Raw genomic sequence first — 17,541 nt, 5'->3', positions numbered from 1 at the left:
GACAAATAAGAAATGCATGTTAAGTATTTAGAACAGGACCTAGCATATAATAAATACTCAATAGACTGGGTGCACTGGCTGATGCCTGTAATCTGAGCACTTTGGGAGGCAAGGTAGGAGTATTGTTTGAGACTGGGAGTTCAAGACCAACCTGGGCAACATAGTAAGACCTCACCTCTACAAAAATAAATAAATATATACATTTTTTAAGTGCTCACTATGTGTTTCTGTGGCTGTTGTTATATCTATTGTATTGTATTCTACATTGTATATTTTATTATTGTCTAGTTAATATATTATTATCCTTTTCATCAGTTAGAATTGAGTTTTTATTTAGATTCAAAGCACCACAAATACCCACTGCAATCTTAAAAACAACAATTCATATCCCTGGTTTTGATACCCATAGTTGTAAGAAAAGCAAGAGAAAACCGGCTGGGTAGAGCGGCTCACACCTGTAATCCTAGAACTTTGGAATGCCGAAGCAGGAGTATTGCTTGAGGGCAGGAGCTCAAGGCCAGCCTGGGCAACATGTTGAGACTCTATCTCTACAATCTTTAAAAAGTTAACTGGGCCGGGCGCGGTGGCTCACGCCTGTAATCCCAGCACTTTGGGAGGCCGAGGCGGGTGGATCACGAGGTCAGGAGATCGAGACCATCCTGGCTAACAAGGTGAAACCCCGTCTCTACTAAAAATACAAAAAATTAGCCGGGCGCGGTGGCGGGCGCCTGTAGTCCCAGCTACTCGGGAGGCTGAGGCAGGAGAATGGCGTGAACCCGGGAAGCAGAGCTTGCAGTGAGCCGAGATTGCGCCACTGCAGTCCGCAGTCCGGCCTGGGCGACAGAGCGAGACTCCGCCTCAAAAAAAAAAAAAAAAAAAAAAAAAAAAAAAAAAAAAAAAAAAAAAAGTTAACTGGGCGGCCAGGCCTGTGGCTCACACCTGTAATCCCAGCACTTTGGGAGGCCAAGGTGGGCAGATCAGGAGGTCAGCAGATCAAGACCATCCTGGCTAAAACGGGGAAACCCAGTCTCTACTAAAAATACAAAAAATTAGCCAGGTGTGGTGGCGGGCACCTGTAGTCCCAGCTACTCGGGAGGCTGAGGCAGGAGAATGGCGTGAATTCAGGAGGCGGAGCTTGCAGTGAGCTGAGATGGCGCCACTGCACTCCAGCCTGGGCGACAGAGCGAGACTCTGTCTCAAAAAAAAAAAAAAAAAAAGTTAACCGGGCATGGTGTTGAGTGCCTGTAATCCCACCTACTCAGGAGGCTGAGGCAGGAAGATCACTTGAGCACAGGGGGTGGAGGTTGCAGTGAGCTATGATGAAACCACTGCACTCCAGTCTGGGTGACAGAGCGAGACCCTGCGAAAGGAAGGAAGGAAGGAAGGAAGGAAGGAAGGGAGGGAGGGAGGGAGGGACTTAGCTGTCATTATTTTTATCCTGCCTAAGGAAAACAAGCCAGAAAATATGGACTGGAAATTCAGTGAGTCTTCTCCCAAGAATATTTGCTAATTGCATTTTCGAATGAGCCTCATTCTTTCTCTCACTTCTTTTCAAGTCTTGCAAGTTTTTAACTTAGAAATTTTTCAGGCTTAGAAACTTAGATGGCTCACGCCTGTAATACCAGCACATTGGGAGGTCAAGGTGGGAGGATTGATTGAGCCTGGGTATTTGAGACAAACCTGGTCAAAAAAGTGAGACCTCACTTCTAAAAAATAATTTTTAATTAATTAATTAATTTAAATCGATCAATTAAATTTGTTAATTAAATTTTTCCACCTTATATTTTCAAAAATAATGAATTTTTTTAACATTTTCAATAGCCCAACCTAAATTTATAATTAAAGATAAAGTGGACTGTTTCAAGAAGTCTAAGTGAACAGAAATCTCCCTTGCTAAAGATAAGGGTTCAAAGCTTTACATTTAATCCTCAAAATAAATTAGATCCAATCTTGCTTTGAGAGCACCCAGCAGATGAGCAACAGCTGTTATGTTTGACATACATTTGACCTTCATTTCTGTCTTCTAGCAAAATAGGAAAGTAAGATTAGCTTATATGAGATCAGAATAGAAATAACTGAACTGAGATCACTGTTATAATATGCTGGGCAGGACTCTTTCAGTTGCAAGTGACTAAAACTAACTCACACAAGCTTAAACAAAAAGAGGATGTATTGCTCCACATAATCAAAAGCCTTCAGGCATGGCTGGATGCAGGGGCTCAGGTGAGATCGTCAGGAGCTGGTCTCTGTAGCCCTCTCCTTCCTCCACTCTGCTTTCCTCTATGTTGGTTTTATTCTCAGGCAGGCTCTTTCCATATGGTGGCTGTGGTAGTTAATTTTAGGTGTCAACTTGTCTGGGTTAAGAAACCCAAATAGCTGGGAATACATTATTTCTGGTATATCTGTGAGGGTATTTCCAGAAGAAATTGGCTTTTAAATCAGTAGAGTAAGGAAGACCCATCCTCACCCAATGTGGGTGGGCACCATCTGATTAGTTAAGGGTCCAAACAGAACCAGAAGGCAGAGGAAAGCTGAATTTGCTCTCTCTTCTGCAACTGCGACACCATCTTCTCCTGCCCTTGGACATCAGAACTCCAGGTTCTCTGGCCTTTGGACTCCAGGATTTGCACCAGCAGTCCCTCAGTTTCTCTGGACTTTGGTCTCAGACCCAGAGTTACACCAATGGCTCTCTTGGTTCTCAGACCTTTGGACTTGGACTGAGCCATGCTACCAGCTTCCCTGGTTCTCTACCTTGCAGGTAGCCTGTCAGGGGACTCCTAAGCCTCCATAATCACAGGAGTCAATTCCCATAATAAATCCTCTTTCATCTATCTGTCTATCTATCTCTCTATCCATCCATCCCATTGGCTCTGTTTCTCTGAAGAACCCTGACTAATTCAGTGGTCCTCAACTGTTTCAGCCTTAGAATACTCTAAATGGCTGAAGCAAACCCTGGAGTTGGGAGATAGAGTCAATGAGACTTAAGCCACATGGAATGAGAATGAGGAAGAGGTCACATGTAGGTCAAACATAACAGCTGTTGCTTATCTTTTACTGGGTGTTCTCTAAGCAAAGTTGGATCTAAAGTATTTTGGGGATTAAATGCAAAGCATTGAACACTTATCTTTAGCAAGAGAGATTTCTGTTCATTTAGACTTCTTGAAGCAGTCTACTTTATCTTCAATTATAAATTTAGGTTGGGCTATTGAAAATGTTCACAAAACTTCATTACTTTTGAAAATATAAGCTGGAAAAATTTCTTTAATTAACAAATTTAATTGATTGAAATTAATTAATTAATTTTTATTTATATTTTTATTGAGATGAGGTCTGTTTTCTAAGGAAAAGAGGAGTACTTGAAGGTAGAATGGATTCCAAGAAGAAAAATCAAAACAAAACAAGTGCTCCACCAACATTGCACATGTATACATATGTAACAAACCTGCATGTTGTTCACGTGTACCCTAGAACTTAAAGTATAATAAGAAGAAGAAGAAGAAAGAAAAAAAAAAACAAGTGCTCATCACCTGAGTATGCTCACTACAAAGTCCAAAGAAAATTGATAACTTGCTTCATGCCACAGCATGTAGCAGACACTCCTGCTAACAAACAGGCAAACTAGTCACTGGCTCCCTCATTCACTAGGAACACAGACACTGACAGTGGAGTCTATGGAGAGCATCTCCGATTTCCCAGTTAGCACCCTATCACATGCAGCTTTATGAAGTAGAACATGTTTCTTCTTCCTTGAAATTTAGACTGTTTTAAGCCTGGCATGGTGGCTCATGCCTGTAATCCCAGCACTTTGGGAGGCCGAGGCGGGTGGATCACCTGAGGTCAGGAGTTCGAGACCAGCCTGGCCAACATAGTGAAACCCTGTCTCTACCAAAAATACAAAAGTCAGCTGGGCATGGTGGTGGGTGCCTGTAGTCCCAGCTACTGGGAAGGCTGAGGCAGGAGAGTTGCTTGAATCTGGGAGGCGGAGGTTGCAGTGAGCCAAGACTGTGCCATTGCACTCCAGCCTGGGTGACAAGAGCAAAACTCCATCTCAAATAAATAAATAAATAAATAAATAAATAAATTTAGACTGTTTTAAAAAATATGACTGAAAAATTTCAGGTTAGATAAGCACTTCCTGTTGGTAAAGGTGAGTAGACCCTGGAATGGAATTATTATGTAAAGTTTTAAGATTTTTCTATCATGAGCTATGTAGAAAATAGGGCCAATAAACTTACTGATCTCTTAAAGGCAAGCCTTAGAGTAATCTACAAATAAATAAATAAATTTAGACTGTTTAAAAAAAAGTGTACTGAAAAATTTCAGGTTAGATAAGCACTTCCTGTTGGTAAAGGTAAGTAGACCCTGGAATGGAATTATTGTGTAAAGTTTTAAGATTTTTCTATCATGAGCTGTGTAGAAAATAGGGCCAATGAACTTACTGATCTCTTAAAGGCAAGCCTTAGAGTTATCTACAAATTATCCCATGCCTTTGAATGGCCAGGTCTCTTCAGGGTTCTCCAGAGAACTAGAACCAACAACATATGTGTATATAAGAGGAGATTTGTAGTGAGGATTGGCTCATGTGATTATGAAGGCTGAGAAGTCCCACAATTTGCTGTTTGTAAACTGGAGAACCAGAAAACTGGTGATGCAATTCCACTGGAACTCTGAAGTCCAAGTCTGAAGGCCTGAGAAACAGGAGAGCTAATGGTGTATGCTCCAGTTCAGACCCAAAGGCCTGAAAACCAAGAGCACTGATGTCTGATGGCAGAGAAAGACAGATGTCCCAGCTCAAACAGAGTGAATTCACCCTCCTCTACTTTTTTGACCTATTTGGGCCCTAAAAGGATAAAATTATCCATAAAATGATAAAATTATTGTATTGATGAACTTAATTTTCTTTACCGAGTCTACTGATTCAAATGTTAATCTCTTCCCAAAACACTTTCACAGACATACCCAGAAATGTTTTACCAGATATTTCAGCATCCTTTAGCCCAGTCAAGTTGACGCGTAAAATTAAGCAACCCACTACTATATACCTAATGTGGTCCTTCAATCTATTATCTCATTTTGAAAACCAGACTTTGAACTTCTGTAAAGTTCTGTACTGCTCTGAAATCAAGGCTTTGTAAAGCTCCCACTTTTAATGAGCAGTAGGATGATGCAGTGAGAAGTTAGATTTGGAATCACAAGCTTGGAAGCCAAGTCTCAAATGTGCTTCCTGTTATTTGCATGATTTTATGCAGCTCTGAGCCTCAGTGTCCTTGTCTCTCAAACACCAACAGAAATTCCTACCCTACTACCTTGCCAGAATTTTTTAAGAAGCAAATGCGATAATTGTTCAGGAAGCCAATATTTAAACTAGAAAGTGTTCTACTTTTTTGTAAGGTAGACACATGGAGCTACTCTATAATTAAATGACTACTTGCAGAGTCATTCAATGTCAAGCCAGTTTCCTTCACTCTCCTCCAAGTGGGCAGTTATTAATATTTAAATATTTTTTTAAATGCTGATGGAAGCTAATTTAAGACAGCCTGCCTTTCTTTTAGAGAAATAAAACTATCTTTTCTTCTTTAATAAAGATATTTATGAATTCATGGACTTTAACTCCTTTTTTTTTGTAATAAATCTGTTTGTCTTCAGATTATGGAAGAGTGTTATGAGATTTTAAAAGAAATCTGTATTTTTTTTTTTTTTGAGACAAAGTCTCACTTTATTGCCCAGGCTGGAGTGCAGTAGCGCAATCTCAGCTCACTGTAACCTCTGCCTTCCAGGTTCAAGCGATTCTCGTGCCCCAGCCTCCCCAGTAGCTGGGATTGCAGGTGTGTGCCACCACATTTGCTAATTTTTTTGTTTTTTTGGTTTTTTTTTTGAGACAGAGTCTCACTCTGTCACCCAGCCTGGAGTGCAGTGGCGCAATCTCAGCTCACTGCAAGCTCCGCCTCCCGGGTTCACGCCACTCTGCCTCAGCCTCCCAAGTAGCTGGGACTACAGGCACCTGCCACCACACCCGTCTAATTTTCATACTTGCTAATTTTTAGTAGAGATGCTATTTTTAGTAGAGAGGCTGGTCTTGAACTCCTGACCTCAGGTGATCCACCCACCTTGGCCTCCCAAAGTGCTGGGATTACAGGCGTAAGCCACCGCGCCCAGAGGAAATCTGTATGTTATTTCTGGCTGCCATTTTTTCCACGTTGAGTTTCCAAATTCTTTAATTGATATACGTCAGACTTTGGTGTCTGGTAAGTTCTCTACAACTTGATTAGGAGCATTCTTCCTCTTCCCCTATTTCCTCTGTTGGCTCTCTCTGCAGGGACATCAATGTTGCATCCTATCGCTCATCAGCCCGTCCCTCCAGGACACTCTAGCAAAGCAGTGCTTCTCAGTCTGCATGCACACCTGAACCGTGTGGGCAGCTTTTCAAAAAAATCCCAAAGTTTGGCCTCACTCAGAAGTAGGACTTAGTCAGAGGTAGGGCACAGGCTTCCCGGTCTTTGTAGAGTCCCTCAGCTGATTCTAATGTGCAGTCAGAGCTGGAAACCATGGGGGAAATTTACCTTCTGAACAAAGTTTTTTTGTTTTTTGTTTTTTTTGAGACAGTGTTTCCCTCTTGTTGCCCAGGCTGGAGTGCAATGGCATGATCTCCGCACACTGCAACCTCCACCTCCTGGGTTCAAGTGATTCTTCTGTCTCAGCCTCCTGAATAGCTGCAATTACAGGTGCCCACCACTACACCCAGCTTATTTTTGGTATTTTTAGTAGAGACGGGATTTCACCATGTTGGCCAGGCTGGTCTCAAACTCCTGACTTTAGGTGATCCTCCCACCTCAGCCTCCCAAAGTGCTGGGATTACAGGCATGAGCCACCACACCCAGACTAACAAACTTTTTAAATGCAGTATCCACCATTGTGAACAAGGCAAATATTCTTTGCTAATTCTATTTCTAGTTTTAATCTTTTTCTTTATGTCTTGGCTACTGCATTCTATTTGTAATGTTCTTGTGTTCTTGAAGTTAATATAAATATTAGTATAGAAAAGACCAATATTCCTTCATAACAACAAAATTAATGTTCCCATCTGTTTTTATTGCTTATTTTATTTTTGCTAATACATGGAGTTCTTTGAATATCTGAACTTGTCCCTACTTTTTAAAATTATCTAGAACCTCTAACAGTGTTAAATATTAATTTTAGAGTTATTACAGATTCATGGTTGCATTCTGTGGTACAACAGTCATAATATTTTTTTCTTTTTAGACGGAGTCTCACTGTGTCACCCAGGCTGGAATGCAGTGGCGCCATCTCAGCTCACTGCAACCTCTGCCTCTGGGGTTCTAGCAATTCTCCTGCCTCAGCCTCCTGAGTAACTGGGAATACAGGTGCGCGCCATCACGCCTGGCTAATTTTTGTATTTTTAGGAGAGACGGGGTTTCACCATGTTGGCCAGGCTGGTCTCAAACTTCTGACCTCAGGTGATTCACCCACCTTGGCTTCCCAAAGTGCTGGGATTACAGGAGTGTGCCACTATGCCCGGCCATAATAATTTTTATTAATATGATCCTCATTCTTTCATTCGTTGAGCATATACCATGTCAGAGACTTTGCTTTGCTCTGAGAAGACCAGGATGAATAAGACATGTGTCTAAGTGATGGCAGAGGCCTGGGAAAAACAGGCATGTAAATCAGTCAATTTAGAGCAATATAACAAGTGTTCCAAAAGAAATAAGTAAAAGTGCAATGACATCCCAGAGTCCCCTAGGTTTCAGGTTCGTCTGTAACTCTCCAGTCCAGACTTTTCACAGAACTTTAAACTCACTAGAGGAGGGGCCAAGAGCAACAGTGGTTAGGAGGCTGTTACAATAGCCCAGGCGAGATATGGTGATGCTCAGAGCAGGATTCAGGCTGTCATTACTCACAGGGACAATTGCCACAGCTTCCTTCTTGGTTTTCCTACCTCCAGTCTTCTCCCCTTAAATCCATTCTCCACATGCAGCCAGACTAACCTTTTTAAAAGCAAACCTGATCATGTTGATACCACCCCAACCCCTGCTTACAAGCATTTATGGCTCCCTGTGGTTCTCAGGGGACCATCCAACCTCCCTTTTTAGAAGGTCCCTACCTCCTCACTTGTCACCCTTTCTCTCTACCATACCCTCTTTGTCCTTCTCAGCATACCTGCCAATTTCCTTCTATTCAGGGCCTTTGCACATGCTCTCTGTGCCCTTAGCTAACTCCTAACTCTTTCTTTGGCTCTCCACTTTTTCTAACTAGGCCATTTCCCCCATTTCACTCTGTTACAGCACCATGTACTTTGCCTTCATAAAACTTACCATAAGTGAAATGTGGTGCCTTTCCTGAAGCTCTTTGATCACTATCTGTCTCCAATAGAGCGGAGACTGTGTATGCTTTTGTCTTGCAGCATAGCTATCTGCACTGAGCTCAGAACTGGGCCCACAGCAGGTGTTCAAGAACTATGTCCTGATGAATGAATGAGGAAATGAGGAGGTCTTGGAGGTCCTCACAGAGGAACGCGTGTACATCATCTGGATGTGCTCAGGGATCATCAGGAAGCATGGCATCAATGGAACACAGGGTATAAGACAGGGATCAGGAAAACATGAAGCTAAACAGACAAGCTGGGACCAGCTCATGAAAAGCCTCATGAGTGTCTCTATTCTGCAGACAATAAGGAACTACCACATAATAGCAGAGGAGTAATACTATTACGAAGGTAAGTTGTAGAAACCTAAGTCTGGCAGCTTTGTGAAAGGTGTGTTGGTGCAAGGAAGCCCTGAAGGCAGGGACTTGAGTTAGATGATGATTACATTTCAGGATAGTTTCCTATTTCCAACTGCACTAGCCACTCAATCTAGTGGCTTCTTCAGTTTGACCCTTGGCAATCCTCCTCAGACACAATTCTGTTCTCTATTGGCTGTCCATTTTCTTCCTACCCTGTTGGGTAAATACCATGGACAATTTGGACCAACACCTTTCCACCAAATTGGCCAGATTCACCAGTATTTCCTCACAAGGATGATTCAGACAGGATCAGGATGTTAAACTCGGTCAGTCAAACTGTTTCTAGACTTCCTCAATTCTTTTTCTTTCCTTTTAGTCAGGTTTGTATTAATGGCAACTGGAGCCCCAATGGTTGATAAGATGACTCAAAAGGAACCTACAGTGTGCAGAGAGAAAAGGGCTTGGGGAAGAAACCTTAGGAACACCAACATTTTGGAGCAGAAAGAGCCAGTAGCTGAGACCAAGGCAAAAAAGAAAAAAAGAAAAAAGAAAGGACGAAGCAAAGGAATGACATCTGGGACACTTCTAGAATATCACCAGAAGCTAAAGGAGAAGAGAGTTTCATGAAGGAGAGAGTAGTCAATGGTGTCCAAAGTCACAGATATGAGAAGCAACATTTGGGATCTAAAAGATGCCAAATGAATTGTGTTGATAGGAGGTCTTTATTAACCTTAACAAAAACAGTTTCTTTGCAAAAGTGCAGGCAGAAAATGATTTCAAGTGTACCAGTGAGATATGAAGACAGCAAGTGGAGAATACTCTTCTGAAATTTTCACAGAGAGAGGGGAGTGGTTGAGGTTGAGTAGAACCATGGGAGGGGATGTCAAAGGCCATGATGATAGTGTAAAGTTTGAGAGAACAGATTTTGTTACAAACTCAGCCTGCCTAGGTTTGAATCTCCCACTCACTATGTGACCTTGAGCAAGTTGTTTAAATTGTGCCTCAGTTGCCTCTTCTGTTGAATGAAGATAATAATAATACTTACCTCATAGGATTATCATAACGATTAATGGAGTTAATATTTGTAAATGCTTGGAACACTGACTCATGGCAAGCACTAGGTGAATGTAGCAGCTATTTTTTTCCATTTATATAAAATTTATTTTTTTACAAGGTTTTTTTTAGAATTGGGTTTTTGTTTTATTATTATTATTAATTATTTCAATAGGTTTTGGGGGAACAGGTGATGTTTAGTTACGTGGATAAGTTCTTTAGTGGTGATTTCTAAGATTTTCGTGCACCCATCACCCAAGCAGTGCACACTGTACCCAATGTGTTGTCTTTTATCGCTCATCCCCCTCCCACACTTGCCCCTGAGTCCTCAAAGTCCATTGTATCATTCTTATGCCTTTACATCCTCATAGCTTAGCTCCCACTTATAAATGAGAATATATAACATTTGGTTTTCCATTCCTGAGTTACTTCACTTAGAATAATGATCTCCAATTCCATCCAGGTCGCTCCAAATGCCATTATTTCATTGCTTTTTATGGCTGAGTAGTATTCCACAGTGTGTGTGTGTGTGTGTGTGTGTGTGTGTGTGTGTGTGTGTGTGTGTGTGTATATATATATATATATATCCCATTTTCTTTATCCACTCATTGATTGATGGGCATTTGGACTGGTTCCATATTTTTGCAATTACAAACCGTGGTGCTGTAAACATGTGCGTGCAAGTGTCTTTTTCGTGTAATGACTTCTTTTTCTTTGGGTAGATACCCAGCAGTAGGATTGCTGAATCAAATGGTAGATCTACCTTTAGTTCTTTAAGGAATCTCCAAACTGTTTTCCATAGTGGTTGTACTAGTTTACATTCCCACTAGCAGTGTAAAAATGTTCCCTCTTCACCACATCCATGCCAACATCTGTTATTTTTTTATTTTTTTAACTATGGTCATTCTTGCAGGAGCATGGTGGTGTCGCATTGTGGTTTTGATTTGCATTTCCCTGATAATTAGTGACGATGAGCATTTTTCCATATGTTTGTTGGCCATTTGTATATCTTCTTTTCAGAATTGTCTATTCACGTCCTTAGCTCACTTTTTGATGGGATTGTTTGTTTTTTTCTTTCTGATTTGTTTGAGTTCCTTATAGATTCTGGATATTAGTCCTTTGTCAGATGCATAGCTTGCAAAGATTTTCTCCCACTCTGTGGGTTATCTGTTTACTCTGTTGATTATTTCTTTTGCTGTGCAGAAGCTTTTTAGTTTAAGTCCCATCTGTTTGTTTTTGTTGCATTTGCTTTTGGGTTCTTGGTCACGAAGTCTTTGCCTAAGCCAATGTCTAGAAGGGTTTTTCTGATGTTACCTTCTAGAATTTCTATGGTTTCAGGTCTTAGATTTAAGTCTTTTTCCATCTTGAGTTGATTTTTGTATAAGGTGAGGGATGAGGATCTAGTTTCATTCTTCTACATGTGGCTTGCCAGCACCATTTGTTGAGTAGGGTTTCCTTTCCCCACTTTATGTTTTTGTTTGCTTTGTCAAAGTTCAGTTGGCTGTATTTGGCTTTATTTCTGGTTCTCTGCTCCATTGGTGTTTGTACCTATTTCTATGCCAGTATCATGCTGTTTTGGTGACTATAACCTTGGGTATAAGTTGAGTAATGTGATGCCTCCAGATTTGTTCTTTTTGCTCAGTCTTGCTTTGGCTATGTGGGCACTTTTTTTGGTTCCATATGAATTTAGGATTGTTTTTTCTAGTTCTATGAAGAATGATGATGGTATTTTAATGGGAAGTGCATTGAATTTGTAGATAGCTTTTGGCAGTATGGTCATTTTCACAACATTGATTCTACCCATCCATAAGACTGGAATGTTTCCATTTTTTGTGTCATCCATGATTTCTTTCTGCAATGTTTTGTGGTTTTCCTTGCAGAGGTCTTTCACTTCCTTGGCTAGGTATATTCCTAGGTATTTTATTTGTTTATTTAATTTGCAGGTATTGTAAAAGGGGTTGAGTTATTGATTTGATTCTCAGCTTGGTCGCTGTTGGTGTATAGCAGAGCTACTAATTTGTGACATTGATTTTGTAGCCTGAAACTTTACTGAATTTATTTATTAAGTCTAGGAGCTTTCTGGTTGAGTCTTTAGGGTTTTCCAGGTATACAATCATATCATCTGCAAACAGCAACAGTTTGATTTCCTCTTTGCTGATTTGGATGCCCTTTATTTCTTTCCCTTGTCTGATTGCTCTGACTAGAACTTCCAGTACTATGTTGAACAGAAATAAGAAATGCTTTCAACTTTTCCCCATTCAGTATAATGTTGGCTGTGGGTTTGTCACAAATGGCTTTTATTACCTTAAGGTATGTCCCTTCTCTGCTGATTTTGCTGAGGGTTTTAATCATAAAGGGATACTGGATTTTGTCAAATTTTGTGTGTTTATTGACATGATCATGTGATTTTTGTTTTTAATTCTGTTTATGTAGTGTATCACATTTATTGACTTGCATATGTTAAACCATCCCTGCACGCCTGGTATGAAACCCACTTGATCAGGATGGATTATCTTTTTTATATGCTATTGCATTCAGTTAGCTAGTATTTTTGTTGAGGATTTTTGCTACTACATTCATCAGGGATATTGGCTGTAGTTTTCTTTTCTTGTTATGTCATTTCCTGGTTTTGGTATTAGGGTAATACTGGCTTCATAGAATGATTTAGGGAGGATTCCCTCTTTCTCTATCTTTTGGAATAGTGTCAACAGGATTGGTACCAATTCTTCTTTGAATGTCTGATAGAAGTCAGCTGTGAATCCTTTTGGTCCTGAACATTTTTCTGTTGGCAATTTTTAAATTACCATTTTAATCTCACTGCTTGTTATTGGTCAGTTCAGGGTTTCTATTTCTTCCTGGTTTAATCTAGGAGTGTTGTATATTTCCAGGAATTTATCCATCTTCTCTAGGTTCTCTAGTTTGTGAGTGTAAAGGTGTTCATAGTAGTCTTGAATGAGCTTTTATATTTTTGTGGTATCAATTGTAATATCTCTCATTTTATTTCTAATTGAGCTTATTTGGATCTTTTCTTGGTTAATCTTGCTAATGGTCTATCAATGTTGTTTATCTTTTCAAATAATCAGTTTTTTGTTTCATTTATCTTTTGTATTTGTTTGTTTATTTGTTTTAATTTCATTTAGTTCTGCTCTTATGTTTGTTATCTCTTTTTTGTGTGGGGAAGGGGCTTGAGATGGGGTCTCACTCTGTTGTCCAGGCTGGAGTGCAATGGCATGACCTCGGCTCACTGCAACCTCCACCTCCCAAGTTCAAGTGATTCTTGTGCCTCAGCCTCCCCAGTAGCTGGGATTATAGGTATGCACCACCACACCCAGCTAATTTTTTTTGTATTTTTAGTAGAGACAGGGTTTCACCATTTTGGCCAGGCTGGTCTTGAACTACTGATCTCAAGTGATCCACCCACTTTGGCCTCCCAAAGTGCTGGGATTACAGGTGTGAGCCACCATGGCTGGCCTGATCTTTGCTATTTGTTTTCTTCTGCTGAGTTTGGGTTTGGTTTGTTCTTGTTTCTCTAGTTCTTTGAGGTGTGACCTTAGATTGTCTATTTGTGCTCTTTCAGACTTTTTGATTTAGGCATTTAATTCTATGAACTTTCCTCTTAGTACCACTTTTGCTGTACCCCAGAGGCTTTCATAGGTTGTGTCACTATTATCATTCAGTTCAAAGAATTTTTTAATTTCCTTCTTGATTTCATTGTTGAGCCAAAGATCATTCAAGAGTAGGTTATTTAATTTCCATGTATTTGCATGGTTTTGAGGATTCCTTTTGGAGTGAATTTCCAATTTTATTCCACTGTGATCTGAGAGAGTACTTGATATAATTTCAATTTCCTTAAATTTATTGAGACTTTTGTGGCCTATCATATAGTCTATCTTGGAGAATGTTCCATGTGCTGATGAATAGAATGTATATTCTGCAATTGTTGGGTAGAATGTTCTATAAATATCCATTAAGTCCATTTCTTCTAGGGTATAGTTTAAGTCCATTGTTTCCTTGTTGGAAACAAGGGCTCAAGGGCTGCTGTTCAGATTCTTTCTAACTTGACGACATGTCTAGTGCTGTCAGTGGAGTATTGAAGTCTCCCACTATTATTATGTTGCTATCTGTTTCATTTCTTAGGTCTAGTAGTAACTGTTTTATAAATTTGGGAGCTCCCGTGTTAGGTGCATATATATATAAACTCATATATATATATATCACATAGAAACTCATATATCACATATAAACTCATATATATATATATGAGTGTAATATTTTCCTGTTGGATTAGACTTTTTATCATTATATAATGTCCCTCTTTCTTTTTTAACTGTGTTGCTTTAAAGTCTGTTTTGTCTAAGAATAGCTACTCCTGCTTGCTTTTGGTGTCCATTTCCATGGAATATCTTTTTCCACCCCTTTACCGTAAGTTTATCTGAGTCCTTACGTGTTAGGTGAGTCTCTGGAAGCCAGCAGATGTTTAGTTGGTGAATTCTTATTCATTCTGCCATTCTGTAGCTTTTAAGTGGAGTATTTAGGCCATTTACATTTGGCATTAGTATTGAGATGTGAGGTGTCATTCTCTTCATCGTGCAAGTTGTTGCCTGAATACCTTATGTTTTTTTAAAATTATTTTATTGTTTTATAGGTCCTGTGAGATTTATGCTCTAAGAAGGTTCTATTTCGGTGTATTTCTTTTTTCTTTTTTTATTTTGTTATGGGGACTCGCTGTGTCACCCAGGCTGGAATGCAGTGGTGCACTCTCGGCTCACTGCAACTTCTGCCTCCCAGGTTCAAGCAATTCTCATGACTCAGCCTCCAGAGTATCTGGGACTACAGGTGTGTGCCACCACACCTGGCTAATTTTTTGTGGTTTTAGTAGAGACAGGGTTTCACTGTGTTAGCCAGGATGGTCTTGATCTCCTGAACTCGTGATCTGCCCACCTTGGTCTCCCAAACTGCTGGGATTACAGGCTTGAGCCACCATGCTCGGCCTATTTTGGTGTATTTTGAGGCTTTGCTTCAAGATTTAGCACTCCTTTTAGCGGTGCTTGTAGTGCTGGCTTGGTAGTGCAAATTCTCTCAGCATTTGTTTGCCTGAAAAAGACTGTATCTTTTCTTTATTTATGAAGCTTAGTTTTGCTGGATACAAATTTCTTGGCTGATAATTGTTTTGTTTAAGGAGGCTAAAGATAGGACCCCAATCCTTTCTAGGTTGCAAGGTGTCTGCTGAGAAATCTGCTATTAATCTGATAGATATTCTTTTATACATTACCTGAAGCTTTTGCCTTATGGCTCTTAAGCTTCTTTCCTTCATCTTGATTTTAGATAACGTGATAACTATGTGCCTAGGGGATGATCTTTTTGCGATGAATTTCCCAGATGTTCTTTGAGCTTCTTGTATTTGGATGGCTAGATCTCTAGCAAGCCTGGAAAAGTTTTCCTCAATTATTCTCTCAAATGTTTTCCAGACTTTTAGATTTCTCTTCTTCCTCAGGAACGCCAGTTATTCTTAGTTTTGGTCATTTAACATAATCCCAAACTTCTTGGAGACTTCGTTCATTTTTTTAATTTGTTTTTCTTTGTCTTTCTCAGATTGGGCTAATTCGAAAGCCTTGTCTTCAAGCTCTTAAGTTCTTTCTTCTACTTGTTCTATTCTATTGTTGAGACTTTCCAGTGTATTTTGCAATTCTCTAAGTGTGTCCTTCATCTCCAGGAGTTGTGATTGTTTCTTATTTATGCTATCTATTTCTCTGGAGATTTTTCCTTCCATACCCTGTAACATTTTTAAAATGTCTTTAAGTTGGTATTTACCTTTCTCTGGTGCCTCCCTGAGTAGCTTAATAATCGACCTTCTGAATTTTTTTGCTGGCCATTTAGAGATTTCTTCTTGGTTTGGATTGTGAACCTAGAAAACCTGAGACAGCTCTCAGTTAATTTAGAAAGTTTATTTTGCCAAGGTTGAGGACGGACCATGACACTGCCTCAGGGAGTTCTGATGACATGCCCAAGGTGGTCGGGGGCACAGCTTGGTTTTATCCATTTTAGGGAGACAGAAGACAACAATCAATATATGTAAGAAGTACATTGGTTCTATCTGGAAAGGCGGGACAACTTGAAGCAAAGACAGGAAGATTCAAAGCAGGGAGGGATCTTCCAGGTCACAGTTAGGTGAAACACAAACAGTGCATTCTTTTGAGTTTCTGATTAGCCTTTCCAAAGAAGGCAATCAGATATGCATCTATCTCAATGAGCAGAGGGATAACTTTGAATAGAATGGAAGGCAGATTTGCCCTAAGCAATTTCCAGCTAGTTTTTCCTAGTGATTTTGGGGCCCAAGATATTTTCCTTTCACAGGATCCATTGCTGGTGAGCTAGTGTGATCTTTTGGGGGTGTTAAAGTGCCTTGTTTTATCATATTACCAGAATTGTTTTTCTGGTTCCTTCTCATTTGGGTAGACTATGTCAGAGGGAAGATCTGGGGCTCAAGGGCTGCTGTTCAGATTCTTTTGTCCCATAGGGTGCTCCCTTGCTGTGGGGCTCTCCCCTTTCCCCTTGAGATAGGACTTCCTGAGAACCAGACTGCAGTGATTGTTATTTCTCTTCTGGGTCTAGCCACCCAGTGGAGCTACTGGGCTCTGGGCTGGTACTGAGGAGGGTCTGCAAAGAGTCCTGTGATGTGCTCCATCTTCAGATCTCTCAGCTGTGGATACCAGCACCTGCTCCAGTGGAGGTAGCAGAGGAGTGAAGCGGACTCTGTAAGAGTACTTGGTTGTAGTTTTGTTTAGCGTGCCGGTTTTCTCAAATGCTGGTTGTACTGACAGTAAAGCTATCATGTGGACAGACTTAGGACCTCTGGTTAGCCAGGATGTTACAGGCAGTGGAGTTAACCATTGTTTTCTCCTTTCTTGGGGCAGGGTTATTCTTTGATGAGTTGCTGTAACAGTTTGTGTTGGTTGGCCTCCAGCTAGGAGGTGGCGCTTTCAAGACAACTTCAGACAACTTCAGCTGCGGTAGTATGGGGGGACGCAAGCTTGCCCTAGGGTCTCCTGGATGAGCCTTCAGGTTTCTCAGGTGATGGGCGGGGCCCTAGAACTTCCATGAGTTGTACGTCTTTTGTTTTTGGCTACCAGGGCAGGTGGAGAAAGACCATCTATCTGGTGGGGGTAGAGTCAGGTGGGTCTGAGCTCAGACTCTCCTTGGGCGGGGCTTGCCGCAGCCACCTTGGGGGAGGGGGTGTGGTTCTCAGGCCATTGGAGTAGGTTCCCAGTAGGACTATGGCTGCCTCTGCTGTCATACAGGTCGCCAGGGAAGTTGCGGAAAACTGGCAGTGACGGGCCTCACCCAGCTCCCACGCAGACTGAAAGGCCAGTCTCACTCTCCCAGTGCTCCTCGACAGCACCGAGTTTATATCTAGGTGAGTTTATTTGCCAGTGAGCAGGACTGGGAACTCCCTCCACCGCCACCATACAAGCCTCGCGCCTAATAAAGCAAGCAGGGCTTTCAGGCCTTCCCCTCCTCGCTGCGGCTTCTGTGCTCCTATCTGGACTTCCTGTTTGCCCCCGACCCCAGATTCTGCTCTGGAAAATTCATGCTTGAAATCATTATAAAGTTCAGCTGGAAGTTTCCTTCTCCCTGTGGGCTTTCCCTAATTCCACTGGCAGCCCGCTCCCCACAAGGGCCCCTGTGAGATAAAGTCAGAAATGGGTTCTCTGAGCTTCCCTGGGGACCGGGAGTGCCTACAGGGCT

Source organism: Homo sapiens, chromosome 2 (assembly GCF_000001405.40).
Source record: "Homo sapiens chromosome 2, GRCh38.p14 Primary Assembly".
NCBI classification, from domain to species: domain Eukaryota; kingdom Metazoa; phylum Chordata; class Mammalia; order Primates; family Hominidae; genus Homo; species Homo sapiens.
Note: the sequence above shows the minus strand (reverse complement) of the source record.